Here is a 16,091-nt window from a genome sequence, read left to right as displayed (position 1 = left end):
TGAAAGATCCGGTGACAAGACGGACATGTGGCAAAGAGAGGCAAATAAGAATGATGTCTGGGTGGCTGGCAGTTCCTTTAACTAAGCCGGGGAAGCCTTAGAGGAACAGATGTGAGGGAGAAGAGATCAAGCTGAGGTTTGGACACATTTGATCTCAGACTCCTGGAGAGGAGACGTTCCAGTGGAAATGTCAAGGAGGCAAACCAAAGCCTTCATCTCTGCCTCCCAGACAGCCCAATTTCTACAAAGCAAACGCCTCACTTATGTAGATGAGAGGTAGCTTAGCTTTTCTAGTACACTAAAGAACCCAAAGCCCAGCCTATCAATTAGTTTGCATGAGACACACTGCGATGGCACAATTGATTCCCTTGGAGTGGAATATCATGCAGTCCACCTCAAAGGCAGGCCACAAGATTTTAATGCAGCTGTCTCCAGGCAATTATTAACTTTCCTTCTTAGCAACAGGACCACGGCACTTTCATTCCTTGAAATGACACTTCTCTCTTGTTAAAGCCCACAGTTAATTTTATGAACCGCACCAATTTAACACCCAGTTCACATGAGCCGTATACCTTGAATAAATGCAAATCCAGTCTCCGAGACATGAATTATGGCCTTATGCTGAGCATCACCATGGCAACTAATGACATCCCCCCACCCCCGACCCCAGCACCAACCTGCACAAAATCCAATTCTCCAAGGGTCCTTATTTGCCTAACGTAGATGTGTTCTTGGCTTACTCACATATGCATTCGTAAATATCACTCTGTTGTCAAAGGTTTGCAGTGGATGTTTACTGTCATTTTGGGAGGTATATTCCCTATGTGGCAAATGTTGTTTTTTGTTCATGGGGGGAAAAATTCTAATGAAAATTACTGTGTGTATTTGATTAGCAACATTTGTTGATAACATATGGTCTGAGGAGGCTTCCGCAAATAAGAGGCTTTAAATAGTAAACAGAGATGCGACTGTGATCAAGCAGATGCTCCCCAAACACAGAGAACAAGGTTGTTTTACCCATAGATTTTTCTGAGCTCCACTCTCCCAAAAGCATATTCTTCTCCCTCATTTTCTCCCCCAGATCAAAGTGTTCACTTTCAAAGTGGTGGTACTGTGGAACAGGTTTGGAGAAATAATGTGCTGTGACTTTAAAAGTCATCCCCATCCCCCTAAATATGAATCATCTGCTACTCATGTTTATTATTTGATATTAATAATGATGTAGTGTGACTAAATGAGTCAGCCAGCTCAAGTGGATCAGGAAGCAGCATTTGGGCACCACGTGTCTGAAATGCTATGATACACAAGCCCCAATTTTCTAATAAACTAAGAGTGCTAGAAAGAGCTCCATGAAGAATTTAGAGCAGCAAATTGGATCCCCATGGGGTCAGCTGTCTTTGTGAGTGCATGTTTATAGTTCGTCTTTGTGGGTATGCCCAGATGAGCATTCTGCTAATCTGCTAATGAAAATAAAAGTATTTCCATTAGGCCAAGTCAGCAATTTAACTGTTTGTAACAGAGATCGGCAAACTTTTTCTATAAAGGACCAGAAAGTAAAAATTTTCGGTTTGTTGGCCCTATATTCTCTGTCATAACTACTCAATTCTGCCATTGCTGCACAAAAGAAGCCATAGACAAAACAAAAATGAGTAAGCTAACTATGTTCTAATAAAACGTTATTGATGGGCATCAAAATTTGAATTTCATATAATATTCATGTGTTGCAAATATTCCTTTGATTATTTTCAGCCATTTGAAAATACAAAGCCCTTATTAGCTTATGAGCCATACATAAGCAGACCCATACCCATGGCCATAGTTTAACAACCCCTGGTCTATAATCCTAAAATGAAGACTTACATTTTTTAGTGCTTTCTATGTGCCACGTATTGAGGTAAACACCACATATCCAATAGCTTATGTCCTACATATCCTTCCGTCAAGGACTCCATCCTCTGGGTCAGTTCTATTTTTTTAAGAGACTGGGTATCACTATGTTGCCCAGGCTGGCCTCATACTCCTGAGCTCAAGCAATCCACCCACCTCAACCTCCTGAGTAGCTGGGACTACAGGTGCAGACCACTATTCCCATCTGGCTATATTTATAATAAAACTAAATATTCTTATCCCCAATTTATAGATGTGAAAGCTGAGACACTCTCACACGTTATAAGTGTTATTTCTGCACGGGGCATCTCCCCCAAAATAATGTAATATCCATGGGGGCAAAACTTACATCTCACTCACCTTTGGATCCATAGCAGTGCCTATCATAGTGATTTGCACACAGTAGACATTCAGGAAGTGTTTCCTAAATGGAGCACTATTTGGAGATAGAATCCCTAAGCAGTGAAAGTTAGAGCCTCATCTGATGCCAATATGGCGCTTTTAGATTAGTCAGTTACACTGTTCATCTATTTATTTGCCACCCTCTTACAGGAAGTATTTGGTTTGGAATAGACACACATGTCCCAATACACATTCCTTCATCTTTGGAGGTGCCTCTATGGGTGATGGCATTTCTACAGTCTCTGCTTATGTGCTTGTGGCTGAAAAGACCAAAAGTAATAATAGCAGCTTATTATATAGCTTGGTGGCACTTTCCATCACTATACCGTTGGCAGCCACATTGCTGCCAGCCCTTGGAGAGCCATTCCTCAGCCTTCATGGATTGACGCCTTGCTCCCAAGAGAGCTGTTGCATGCTGAGTATCCTCTGCATGCTGCCAGCTGCTGTGTGCACTTCAGAGAGTTTGTCTGCTCAAAAAAAAAAAAAAGAAAGAAATCAACTCCTCAAAGAGATAAAAGCCCTCAGTTGAAAGGGGCAGTCACACCTTTGGTTATTTCATGTGTCTCACCTCTCTACAATCCCCTGAATTTAGTGACATGGTTATTCTGAATTTGTTGCTTTCCTAGTTACTAAGCAAATATTTACTGTGTTCCAGGCCCTGTGTTGGGTGCCATGTATATCATTATATATCGTACATTATATATATTATATATATAATATATTGTATATTATATATAATATGGTATATATAATATATATATATTATATATTATTATATATTATATATATTATATATATATAATATATTATATATATAATATATAATATATTATTTATTATATATTATATATATTATATATAATATATATATTATATATACAATATATATAATAGATTATATATATTATATATACTATATATATTATATATTATATAATATATATATTATAATATTATATAATATTGTATATATAATATATATTATATTATATATTATATATTATATTTATTATATTATATATTATATATAATATAATAAATATATAATATATTTATATAATTTGTATAATTTATATAATTATATAATTTATATTATATATAATATATATAATATATATGTAATATATATATAATATATATAAAATATATATATAATAAAAGAAACCACAGTAAAGCACTCTCATTTAATGCATGGGCTTTGAGGTCAGAAACTCTGAGTTTGAAGCCCAATTCTGTGATTTGTCAGAAATATTAATTGAGATAATTCATTAGAAGCACTAAGCCCAGGGCCTGGCAAATCATAAGTACTCAATAATTGGTGGCTATTTTTAACGTTTATGTAAGCTAGTCATACAGTGTGAGTACAGTGGAGGAAAGGATGGGATCACAGAATAGGGACACCTAACCCATTTTACATTATCTACTTCATCTTCAGAGAGAAGTTAGTCAGTTAACCTTTCCAACTTCTGCTTGCAATAAATATTATCCACCTCTGGTCTTTTCAAATCAAAATGCAATTGTATTTCAGTTCTGGGACACTTTAAAGAGGTATTCATCTTAATAGCCACAATCAGTTGCACAGCAAGGGCAAAGAAATGAGCAGAGAACAAAATAGATTCATTTTTGGGTGTGTGGCCCCACCAAAAGGCCAAGGTTTTTGATGCTTCCTCCACTGGCTAATTTGTCTGTCTGGGATATAGTGCTCTGTGAAGTATATTGAACACGTGAAATAAATTCAAAGTAAAAAGCCAGAGTGGCCCAACGTCCCACCAGTCTTGAAACAGAACTTCCCTTTTCAGTTACAGAGGTAACTCATGTTGATTTAATCAAGACATAAAGCAGTGAATGATGGAATGAGCAAGGGAGGCAACATGGTGGCCTGATTAGGAGTTTGAATTCTGAGGTCACTAACTGCCATTTACTCCTTGTGTGTGACCCTGAACATATTACCCAGCCTCTCTGTGACTCATTTATAACTCTGGAGGTGATAATTGTAGGCATTTCACAGGATGTCCAAGAGGCTTTCAAATGATCAAATGCATGTATGGCTGTGTCCCACTTTTGAGATAGGAATTTGTGCCTAGCACATAGTAATCTGAATAACTATTAGCTATTTCTATTACAAATATAGCCAGATCTCTCCGTGGCTACAAAAGGACAAAGAATGAATATTTTTCATGACATTTTTTCCTACAGAGGAAAGGAAGATAAGGAAGGGTGCAAATATTTAAACCTTCTTGATTCTACTAAGAGTAGGAAGCATTGACAAAAAAAGGCCAGAATTCCCACAGAATCCAATGACTGTGGCTAAGACCAAAAGTTTCATGTCAACAGCCAGTGTCAGCCAACATCCACTTCTCAGTCCAGGCTAACCAGACTGGGGTGACATTGGATCAGAGCCAGCTTGAGGGGCATGTGACCTGTATAGCTGCACATCTTCTACATTCAGAAGGGGCCCCCATTTGATTTAATGCTCTTTTGTTGCCATCTCGAAATTCTTAATAATTTTATCTTCGAGCTTGTGTTTGTGACATCCCATGGAACGATGGACTGTGGATTTGAGGAGAGGAAATACTCAAGAAAATGAAAATGCTTTATATTTTAGTACCTTGAATGGCACTTTTTGTGTGTGTTTTGTTTTGGAGTTTTGGAGTTTGCTGTTTTTTTAACAAGGAGATCTGCATTTTTTATTTGCACTGGGCCCTGAAAATTGCACAGCCAGTCCTGATTAGATGAGAGAACTTCTCTTTTGGCCTGCTTCACTGGACCAGGTTACCATTTTGAAATCTGATAGTTAAATAGTTAAACTGGGATTCATTAGTGACCTGACAGCTTGAGGTGAGCCAAGGGTCATGGTGGGAAGCACAGCTGCAGGCCTGGTGGAAGGGAAAAGAAACTCTGTGTCCAATAGGATGGGGGTTGTCAGGGCAGCCTCCAGCGGCCTGAATTCCGTCCAGCTGATGGGTTCTCGGAAGCACTGACTGCCCCACAGTCAGACTCTTGTTACACGCCTTATGAGCTGAGCATCTTTGGGTAGCAGCAGGGGTTCAGGCATCCTGGGTTGGTACCCACTGAACATGCCAAGAAATCCATCCACACTGAGGACAGTAGCATGGAAACATACAGTGGGGTATCTCCAGGACACTGGGCTCAAGTTCTCTTTGTGGCTTAGTGTTAAAGCTTCTCATTTCAGAACTCTTTTGGTTTCCAGCAGAAATCTTTCTCTTCCCCATGACCAAGTATAATGAATGCCCAAAGAGGTATCTTTTATTTTATTTTTATTTATTTTCTTTTAGAGACAAGGTCTCGCTCTGTCACCCAAGCTGGAGTACAGTGGCGTGATCATAGCTCACAGTAACCTCAAAGTCCTGGGCTCAAAGTGATCTTTAGGCCTTGGCCTCCCAAGTAGCTAGGACTTCAGGCATGCACCACCATATGCAGCTAATTATTTTACTTTGTTTTTTGTAGAAAAAATAAAAAGCCTGGGTCTTTCTATGTTGCCCAGGCTACTCTCAAATTCCTGGCCTCCAAAAGCACTAGGATTACAGGAGTGAGGCACCACACCCAGCCATGCAAAGAGATTAATAGTACAATTAATCATAAGTAAATTAATGGTCACATTTTTTCCAGTGTTGCTAATCACTAATAATGCTTATTACTGATAATTTTTACAATAATAACAGCAACAGCTTTAAAATGAGATTTTGGGTTCTGGTCCAGCTTGGTCATAATTCCCTGGAATAAAATAGGCAAGATCTTTGAGTGTCTCTTCAGTTTTCTCATCTGTGAAATGGCAATGATAATAGCTATTTTACCATTCATCTGTGTAGTAGAAAGGGCAGTGTCAATCTTGCTTCCTTTACACAGGGTCAGTTACTTAGTAAGTGCTTGATAAATATGTGTTGGGTAGAAGCCACAAAGGATACAAAAGTACAGCAAGATAAGGGGACTGATTTCTAGTGTTCTCTAGTACTACAGGGTGAATATAGTTAACAATAATTAATAGCATATTTTCAAATAGCTAGAGAGGATTTTGAATGTTTCCAACACATACAAAAAATGATAAATATTTGAGGTGATGGATATGCTAATTACTCTGACTTGATTATTACACATTGTATACATGTAGCAAAATAGCACTCTGGGCCAGGTGTGGTGGCTCATGCCTGTAATCCTAGCACTTTGGGAGGCCAAGGTGGGTGGATCACTTGAGGTCAGGAGTTCGCAACCAGCCTGGCTAACATGGTGAAACCCCGTCTCTACTAAAAATACAAAAAAATTAGCTGGGCACGGTGGCGGGCACCTGTAATCCCAGCTACTTGGGAGGCTGAGGCAGGAGAATCACTTGTACCCGGGAGGCAGAGGTTGCAGTGAGCCAAGATCATGCCACTGCACTCCAGCCTGGGCAACAGAACGACACTCTGTCAAAAAAAAAAAAAAATAGCACTCTGTACCCCATTGTATTAGGGTTCTCCAGAGGGACAAAACTAATAGGATATGTGTGTGTGTGTGTGTGTGTGTGTGTGTGTGTGTGTGTGTGTGTGTGTGTGTGTATACATATATATAAAAACGGGAGTTAATTAAGTATTAACTTACACCATCACAAGGTCCCACAATAGGCTGTCTGCAAGCTGAGGAGCAAGAAGAGCCAGTCTGAGTCCCAAAACTAAAGAACTTGGAGTCCAATGTTTGAGGGCAAGAAGCATCCAGCATGGGAGAAAGATATAGGCTGCTGGAAGGCTAAGCCAGTCTCTCCTCTTCACGTTTTTCTGCCTGCTTTATATTCGCTGGAAGCTGCTTAGATTGTGTCCACCAGATTAAGGGTGGATCTGCCTTTGCCAGCCCACTGACTCAAATGTTAATCTCTTTTGGCAACACCCACACAAACACACCCAGGATTAGTACTTTGTATCCTTCAATCCAATCAAGTTGACACTCAGTATTAACCATCATAGCTATAAATATGTACAATTATTACATGTCATCTAATCATTAAATAAATAAATATAAATAGATAAGCAATAATCACTATTACTAGAATACATCTCCTTACCTTGGGAAGGGAAAGTAGCCAAAATTTGTTGGGTTCTCAACCTGTTCCAAACTTGCAGCTGTTTGTTCTTTACAACTAGTCTGTGAAATTAGCTTATTTTATAGCTGAGGAAATTGACAGGGACATTAATTCCTTGCCCCAAATTTCATAGTTTGCAAGTGACTAAGCCAGAATTTGAACTAAAGATATCTGGTTCAAAACCCTTGCCATTGCTAAGACAAAGATTTCCCTATCTCGGGGTCTTGCTGCAGTTGCTGACAACCACTTAGGAGCTTCTATCTGTACCTCAAACGTTTTGCTAATGTGTTTGAAACCTGTCACTTTTTGTCCTATCTCATGGCCTCCTCCATGTCCTCTCTGTCTCTACTATGACTGTTGTGCTTTCTCAGTGGTTTCATGCACTGAGATCCCCATGGATCTGGTTTCCCCTCATCTCAATTTTTCTGGTCTTCTTTTGTCAACTCTCACTAGATTCCCTGTGTCTTTGAGTTAATAGGATTTATTTGATTGAAGGCAACACTGAGACTAGGATGCAGGTTTCCATAATTTACAAAAGAAGAATGCAAGCAGCCAACAAACAGGGTAAAATGTTCAAGCCCACTAGTAGTCAAGAAAATATCCATGAAAACAACAATGATAAAATAGGCCAGAAGAAAAAGTGAATAGTGATACTCAGAACAGGCAAGAAGGAAGCCCTGTGATTTGAACTCTCGTTCCCAAATGGTGGCAGGATAGTCACTGCCTTTGTGGAAAGCATTTTGGGAATAGGCATCTCAAGCCTTGAAAGTGTGCATTGAGGAACACAGCTCCTGCAACAGTGTAAGATCTCTAAATTTTTGTTGATGGAAGAAGTGATCTCCCAGCTAGGTCTCTATCCCAAGGAAACAATCAGAGATGAAATCAAAAATTAATATCTAACTCCTAGCTACTCAGGAGACTGAGGTGGAAGGATTGCTTGAGCCCGGGAGTTTGAGACCAGCTTGGACAACAGAGTCAGACCCCCACCTCAAAAAACAAAACAAAACAAAATTAATGTTCAATTCTATTTCAATAATAGAACAATGGCTAAATAAATTATGGTACATATAGAAAGTGTAATATTATAGAATCATTAAAAATCATAATGAGGGCCGGGCGCGGTGGCTCACGCCTGTAATCCCAGCACTTTGGGAGGCCGAGGCGGGCGGATCACGAGGTCAGGAGATCGAGACCATCCCGGCTAAAACGGTGAAACCGCGTCTCTACTAAAAATACAAAAAATTAGCCGGGCATAGTGGCGGGCGCCTGTAGTCCCAGCTACTTGGGAGGCTGAGGCAGGAGAATGGCGTGAACCCGGGAGGCGGAGCTTGCAGTGAGCCGAGATCCCGCCACTGCACTCCAGCCTGGGCGACAGAGCGAGACTCTGTCTCAAAAAATAAATAAATAAATAAAAAAAATAAAAAAAATAAATAAAAAAAATAAAAAAAATCATAATGAGCATTTTAAAGTATGGAAGTTGGTCATTGTATAAAGTAAAATGAAAAAGTTCTCTAAATGAAATTGTATCTATGCTGTTTTCTAGTGCTGTAAAAGACATTATATTTGGCATCTTTCATTTATTCAACAAATATTTGTTAAGTTCCTTCTATATGTCTAGCACTGTGCTAAGTTCTGGGTATGCAACATAAAAACACAGTCCCTGTGCTCATGGAGCTTACAGAATATTAGGGGATTCTGCTATAAAACAATGACACAAATCAATAACTTAAATCCAGTGATTGCTAAGATGCAAAATTAAATAGTATGCTAAAGAGAGGTTAATACCAGAACCCAGTTTAGATTGGGAGATCAAAGGACAGTGGTTTTAAGCTGAGCCCCAAAAGACATAGCCCAGTGAATGGGTGGGGAGAAACATTGCCAACAGAGGAAACATACATGTAACAGGTCTGAGATGGCAGAGTCAGGAGGCTTGTGAGATTGGAGCAGATGAGTGGCAGTCCATAGGTAGGGGTCCAGATTGCCCCCTGAGTGCAATGGAACAGGTGCCCTGGACCTGGGGCTCAGTGCAATCCAGTTAACACTTCTGGAAGATCACTCTGCTTGCAGGCACAGAATGGATAGAGATGAATTCTCTGTAAGAATAATAATGAGTGAATGAAGAGGCTGCATTTGAAGGGCACATCAAGGGCTCATGTGAGCCGCACCTGGTGCTCTACCCAGATTTTGGGTAAGCCAGGCTCCCGTGTGTGGAAAACTGAGACTCCGATATCCACAAACTATGAGCAGGGAATGGCATTTCCCACATCCTCATCCTTCTCCCTTCCAATCTCTCTTTGACCTTAACAGGGTGGAGCTCCATAATCTCCTTATTCAACTCATCTTTGAATGCCAGTGAAAATGGGGCTCCCCACCTCCCCACCACTATTGTTGAAGTCTCATTTGAAAGTCAGGTGTTGGCTTGAACCAAATGAAGCCCCATCCCAAGATGTACAACTGCAGTTTCCATGAATGAGGAAGTCAAAGGATGCAATGAAATATTAGTGATTTCCCTGGAATCGTTTGTAGATACAGCAAATGCATGGGAACAAGTTCTCACCAACATGAGTTTATGCTAATTTCAAGTCATTCCTTATAGTGCTCTGTGAAGACCATGGCAACTTTCTGAGCATCTGTCTTTCATTTGCCTAACAAGTTAATTAACACGTTTGTTACTCTGGCAGCTTTGAAGGGGAGGAGAAGAGGATGTGACAGCTAATGCTGCCTTGGGTTAACCCTGCATTCACCTGACCTGGGAACAATGGAATAGTTTAGACTCATCAAGGCAGATATGTCTACAATGACCTCTTTGATTCTGTCTGCAGCTGGGGCACCCAGGGTGACTTCTCCACAACCCATGCACTGCCAGCTGTGAAGGTGAAGCTGTTCACAGAGAGCACAGGCGTCCTGGCGTTGGAGGACAAGGAGCTTGGGCGGGTAAGCACTTCTTATCACAAGGGGAACTCCACAGAGAGGATTTCCCCAGCTAGGTCTCCAGTGCACAGGTCACCAAGAGGCAGCATTGCCAAGTGCTGAGAGGCTCAGTTTTGAACATTAAGTCCTGGACTCCACTCTACATTGGCTGGGTGACCTTAAGCAAGTTCCTCAACCTCTCTGAGCCTCAGATTCTCTTCTACAAAGCTGGACTAACAAGAGTGTGCCCTACAGGAGATAGAGCAGGAGTTCTCAATACTATCAGACCCAAACATCCTTTAGAGTTAAGATTTGTAATGTCTTTTACTGTCTTAAAGTGGAGTTCTTAGATGATTTAACTGCCTGCCCACCTGACAATGTTAAAGTCAACACAATGACATAAGAGAGAAACAAAAGGAAGTAAATTAATAATAAAAAACTTCAAAATGTACATACTCAAAGATCTAATAGAGGAGTGCTTTGCTTGCTCCCATATGAAGAGTCACTGTGAAGGTGACAGCTACAAAATCCACTGTGGGGTGTGGATGTATGCTGTAGTGGTGACTCCTAAGCCTGAGGATCAGTAAACCGATTTACTGACATATTAAGCAATACTTGTAAAGTTTCCTTGATTTCCTTAGAAATGTGCCAAAAAGACTTTGATTTGAAATGTAAGACAAGAGTTAAGATCTCCACGTAGTTCATTATAAACAGATTTTTTCACCTCCACCAATATCCCATGGGAATATTCAAAAGTCAGATGGGATGCAGGAAGATGCCTCACTAAGGAGCATCATGTCATTCCTTGCAGGATGTTTAGCATCCCTGGACCCACCCACTCAGTGCCAACAGGGACTGGCACCAATTATTTTGTCAATCAAAACATCATGAAAATTTCTGAGACATCCCTGAGAGGTGGTACCAACCCCCTTAAAAACCACAGAGATAATAGTGAAATTTCTGTTTGCATCTGAACCATTGACTCTGCACCAAGAAGCCAGTAATATTTTCACAAGTTGATTTTGCCAATAACCCCACCTGCTTGTGGTAAAATCTGAACTCGTTTAATTTGGCTTCTGCTCACCTCTTCACCCCCATCTGCTGCCACATTCCTCCCCGCCTACTATACCCCAGCATCATTGGCCAAATTTCAATCCCTCATATAAACCAAATTCTCTCCCTCCTCAGGGGACTTTCTATCTGTTGTCATTTCCCCACCTCCCAACCCTTCAAAAAGCATAAATGCATTCTCTGCATAAATGCCACCTCCTTGGAGAGTCCTTTCCTGACAGCTCAGTCCCCTTCATTTGCTATCTTAGCTCCTTGTTCACATATACTACTAAAGTGATCACCAATGAGAGAAAGAAACAGAATTGACAGACATTCAGGCTTCTGTCTGCCCCACTGGACTGTAAAATCTCCACGGAGACAGAAACCTAAACTATTTTGTTCACTACCTTATACCCAGAGCCCAGCACATAGACTTTCAATAAATTTTATTTCAGCCAGGCGCGGTGGCTCACGCCTGTAACCCCAGCACATTAGGAGGCCGAGGCGGGTGGATCGCCTGAGGTCAGGAGTTCGAGACCAGCCTGGCCAACATGGTGAAACCCCATCTCTACTAAAAATACCAAAAAAATTAGCCGGGCGTGGTGGCAGGCACCTGTAATCCTAGCTACTCAGGAGGCTGAGGCAGGAGAATCACTTGAACCCGGGAGGCAGAAGTTGCAATGAGCCAAGATCGCTCCATTGCACTCTAGCCTGGGCAACAGGAGTGAAACTCCATCTCAAAAATAATAATAATAAAATAAATAAATAAATATAAATTTTATTTCATTCTGGTTTAATGTGTAATCACTCCTGAAAGCTACGTGATCTCAGCCCAGAGAATCTCTCTGAGCCTCTGATATAACATCTATAGCATAATGAGAGACCACCCCAGACAAGCACACAGGCACACACACCTAACGATGCCAGCAAGAATTCATCTCCTGTGCTTCCTTTTTTTCTTCCTTTCTTTCACCCATTTTTCCAATCTGGCTTTCATCTATAGAATCAACCTGGAGTCATATTACTGCAGCATAGACTACAGATGGAGATAAAACGAAAAGTAAATAAAGCTAACAGCAAAAACAAAAAAACAGTGTCCCTACCCAGAAAAGTGGGAGGAAAGGGGATGATGAAAGAAAATAAAAGGTTTAGCTGTTTTCTTTGAGAAACGATACTCATTTCTGTCCCTAGGGAAAGAGAGACACACATAGAGTGGAAGAATTATCCTGCCTTTCATTTTTCTTCAAATTTCTCCTTTTCCAGTAAGGCAGATGTTAAGAATCACGAGTCTCAGAGATCCTGAATATTAGTGTTAGAAGGAACAAGTGTAACTGACCAGCGCAGGATGCTCAACCTGGGTCCACAATGAGCCTCCGAAGACCCAGGATCCAGGATGCCCTGGAATTTTTTTTTTTTTTTCTTTAGCTGGAGTCTCTCTCTGTTGCCCAAGCTGGAGTACAGTGGCGTGATCTCGGCTTGCTGCAACCTCCACCTCCCAGGTTCATGTGATTCTCATGCCTCAGCCTCCCAAGTAGCTGGTATTACAGGTGCCTACCACCACATCTGGCTAATTTTTGTATTTTTAGTAGAGACAGGGTTTTACCATGTTGGTCAGGCTGGTCTGAACTGCTAACCTGAAGTGATCCGCCCGCCTCGGCCTCCCAAAGTGCTAGGATTAGAGGCATGAGCTACTGCACCCAGCCTGGAAATAGTTTACAGATGTGTTTGTGCCTGGGCCTATATGCATTTTTCTGGACTGGCTACCAAAGCATTCACTGACTTCTCAAAGCCATTTCTACTCAGAAAAGTTAAGGCCACTGACATATTGAAATCCTTTGTTTTATAGATGAGAAAACTTGCTCCCATGGAAAGCGGGAGACCTCTCCAGAGCGATCAAGCCAGTCAGGGACCCATGCATGGGCCAGGCCACTGTCCCAAAGACTTTGTGCACAGCCCCTCAGTGCTCTCTCAAGACAACCCTACTGAGGCAGCCACAGTCATCACCTCTCTTGTACAGAAGAGCATGCTGACGCCCAGAGGGTTCAGTTACTTCAGGAATCATGTTGCCTCATCTCCAGGGCTATTTGCACTACACTGTGTTGTCCCTACACAAAAATAAAACCCTGGGCTGTGCTGTGGTGGTGAAGACCATGGGCTTGCCACAGCCCCACACACACTCATTTCATAATGGTTCATTCTCTTCTTCAGGCCCCTCATACATTCCCCCAGATGCTAGTTTACCCCTCCTTTGTGCCAAAGAAACTTTCTGCCAATTGCAGCGGAGCTGGCCTGCCTGGCTCTTGTGCTGGCTGGACACCCTCTGCTGGCAGCATCTTCATGGGCAGCAGCTGGGTGACCTAAGAGTGCAGTGAAGCCACACTTGGACCTCACGAGAGAGTGTTTCTATGCTCGAATTCTTCCCACACTTAGCAGACCTGTGTTTAGAATCCTGGCGTTACATTTACTTATTCAACCACTTTTTGGTTTGTTTCTTTAGGGTTATGTTTTGTTTTTAATAACCTTTTTAATTAAAAAAAAATTCATGCACATTGTGAAAACAAGTTAAAATTGATATATAGTGAAAATTAATTTTTCTCTTCTATCTCACCCTCGTATCCCTTCCCAGAGAAAGATTTTGTTTTCAATTTATGGTATCCTTCCCCAGATAGTCTCTGCATGTACCAACATAGCGTATATAAGCACATATGTATATATTCCCCCTCTTTTAAAAAAAGCACAGTTGGAAGCTACTATATACACACTTCTCTACATGGTGCCTGAAATCATTATATTTGGTGATTAGTTTTCATATGACCCTAGACTGACCTGTCTCCTTTTTACATAGCTACATTGTATTCCATTATGTAGATATATTTTATTTAACAAATCCTCTATGGATGAATTTTTAGATTATTTCATCTTTGGCTATATAAACAATGCTTCAGTGAATAGCCTTGAATTTATTTATTTGTATATGTGTGGGTATCTATAGAATAAATTTTCAAAAAATATTTTGCTGACTGAAATTTGAAATTTGACAGCTACTGCCAAATTGTCCCCTAAAGTGCATGCACCAATTGATCCTTCCACAAAAGGCATAAGAGAATGCCTGTTTTCCTGCATCCTTCCCAACCCTGCAATATTATAGGATTGTAGGCCCTCTGTGTCCAATCATTTGTCCTGTGCACAGAGCAAATAGGAATAATGACTGGTAAAAAACCCTTAACCTCACAAAGCATAAGGGACACAGACATAAAAACAGAAATTATAGTGCAATGTGGGAAGTGTTCTGCTAGGAAAAAAAAAAAAAAAAGAAAGACCTGGAAATGAAGCACCTAGCAAGAAGGCAGAATCCAGTCATACAGTCTCAGGGACAGGGATTCTTTCCTGGGGTATGCAAGAGGTACTGAAGAGATATAGGCTAAGTCGAGGAGGGGATCTGTCAGGTAAAGGCTGAGGGTAAAGCAGCCCCCTAGCAGGCCCTGCCTGTGTGCCCAGGCAACTAGGAGAAGCCACGGCTGGCTGGAGTGCAGCTACTTCAGGGGGTGGGTCGTGGCGGCCACATCAGCATCCCCACATCAAAGTGCAGCACACATGGTCCTCGGCTGAATTGACAAAGTGCTTGATTAGCAGCCTGGAATGTCCAGATGAGGTGTCTGGTCTGCTTGGGATTCATGTGCACCCAGAAGGACCCTCATAATTCAGCAGTGCTGACACATACAAATGAGTCATCAGCCTGTCAGAGGCATGGCAGGGTGGGGGCAAAGACAGAAGAGAGCTGTGGTCACTTCATCTCTCCATCCACCCTGGAAAAGAGGGCTCCCCAGCAAGCAGTTGCACAGGGGACAAAGTCTTTGTGGCATAGCCGGTAATGAGCTGCGGCTATTGCGTCACGAATGGACACCATATTGCCAGTGGGAAGCACGCCCAGAATCCATATGGCGAAAGGCCTGTTAATGAGCTGCGGGTGCCCAGAGCACTGCTCCCTCTGTGATTTTGCCAAACAGGCAGGAGCAGACAGAAGCCCAGGGCCTTTCTTACTTACCGCGGTTCTGGCCCTGGATGGGGTGTCTCTTACCAGCACCTCCCTTTCTGGCTTCCCAGCACATCTCACCCCTACCTCTCTCAGGCCAGACCAGCTCAGGATGGAGGGTCAGCTTCACTGAAATCAGCAGCTCCCACAAAGTGTCAGGCCTCGGGATGTGGTACATGATACAGGGTGACGTGTAAGAACAGGCAGTTCCTGGAGAAAAGGGAGAGGTCTCCACAACCCAGCAGTGCCCTATCTCACTCATTTCCTCCCAGCATCTGTCCTATGATATGTTGCAGTTCTCTGGTGCCAGTTAAGTGAATTTATACATTTTATGCTGGAGCTTTAACTAAATCAACCTTTACAAAATAAGCGACCTCAGAAGATAACTGCACAAAAGCTCTGATTTGGAGGTAGTACTAGCAATGCAAGCCTGGCAAACAAGAAAATGGTGGAGCCAACACCTGACCTACTGGCAAACACTCTGTCACTCATATCATGAGATAAAAACAATGCCAATGTAATCAGATGGGACAAGATGTCAGTCAAGACATGACGAAATTATTGAGAAGACAACTCAAACTACAGATTTATAACCAATGTCATCAACAATGTACCTTGCCCTAAATATATGTGGTACCTTAAAGATAGCTAATAACACCACAGCCACCACAATTAGCAAGTTATTCCAAAATGTAGATTTTTAAATCTTTAGCCCATCTTTGATTTTTGTATATTTTA

General features: G+C 41.5%; 1 protein-coding gene across 51 annotated transcripts in view, besides 3 other annotated features; it reads left to right on the top strand.

Annotated features, from left to right (window-relative positions):
- The window catches only part of CADPS (calcium dependent secretion activator), a 477,069-nt gene that overhangs the window by 272,486 nt on the left and 188,492 nt on the right, over positions 1-16,091 (top strand). For all 51 annotated transcript variants that reach the window (NM_183393.3, NM_001438352.1, XM_011534199.3 and 48 more), the window contains exon 7: positions 10,183-10,294. In NM_183393.3, coding sequence (NP_899630.1) covers positions 10,183-10,294 — 112 coding nt within the window. The remainder of the gene's footprint in view (positions 1-10,182; positions 10,295-16,091) is intronic.
- Positions 10,196-10,325: an enhancer, noted in NCBI's record as "active region_20030". NCBI's record gives its function as "activates an Ori minimal core promoter by ATAC-STARR-seq in GM12878 lymphoblastoid cells {active_cell/tissue: GM12878}" and the evidence as "EXISTENCE:reporter gene assay evidence [ECO:0000049][PMID:35858748]".
- Positions 10,336-10,435: an enhancer, noted in NCBI's record as "active region_20029". NCBI's record gives its function as "activates an Ori minimal core promoter by ATAC-STARR-seq in GM12878 lymphoblastoid cells {active_cell/tissue: GM12878}" and the evidence as "EXISTENCE:reporter gene assay evidence [ECO:0000049][PMID:35858748]".
- Positions 15,403-15,697: a silencer, noted in NCBI's record as "tiled region #14545; K562 Repressive non-DNase unmatched - State 24:Quies". NCBI's record gives its function as "represses a minimal TATA promoter and a strong SV40 promoter by Sharpr-MPRA in K562 cells {active_cell/tissue: K562}" and the evidence as "EXISTENCE:reporter gene assay evidence [ECO:0000049][PMID:27701403]".

This window comes from Homo sapiens, chromosome 3 (genome assembly GCF_000001405.40).
Source record: "Homo sapiens chromosome 3, GRCh38.p14 Primary Assembly".
Taxonomy (NCBI): Eukaryota; Metazoa; Chordata; class Mammalia; order Primates; family Hominidae; genus Homo; species Homo sapiens.
Note: the sequence above shows the minus strand (reverse complement) of the source record. Positions and strands in the feature narration are given on the sequence as shown.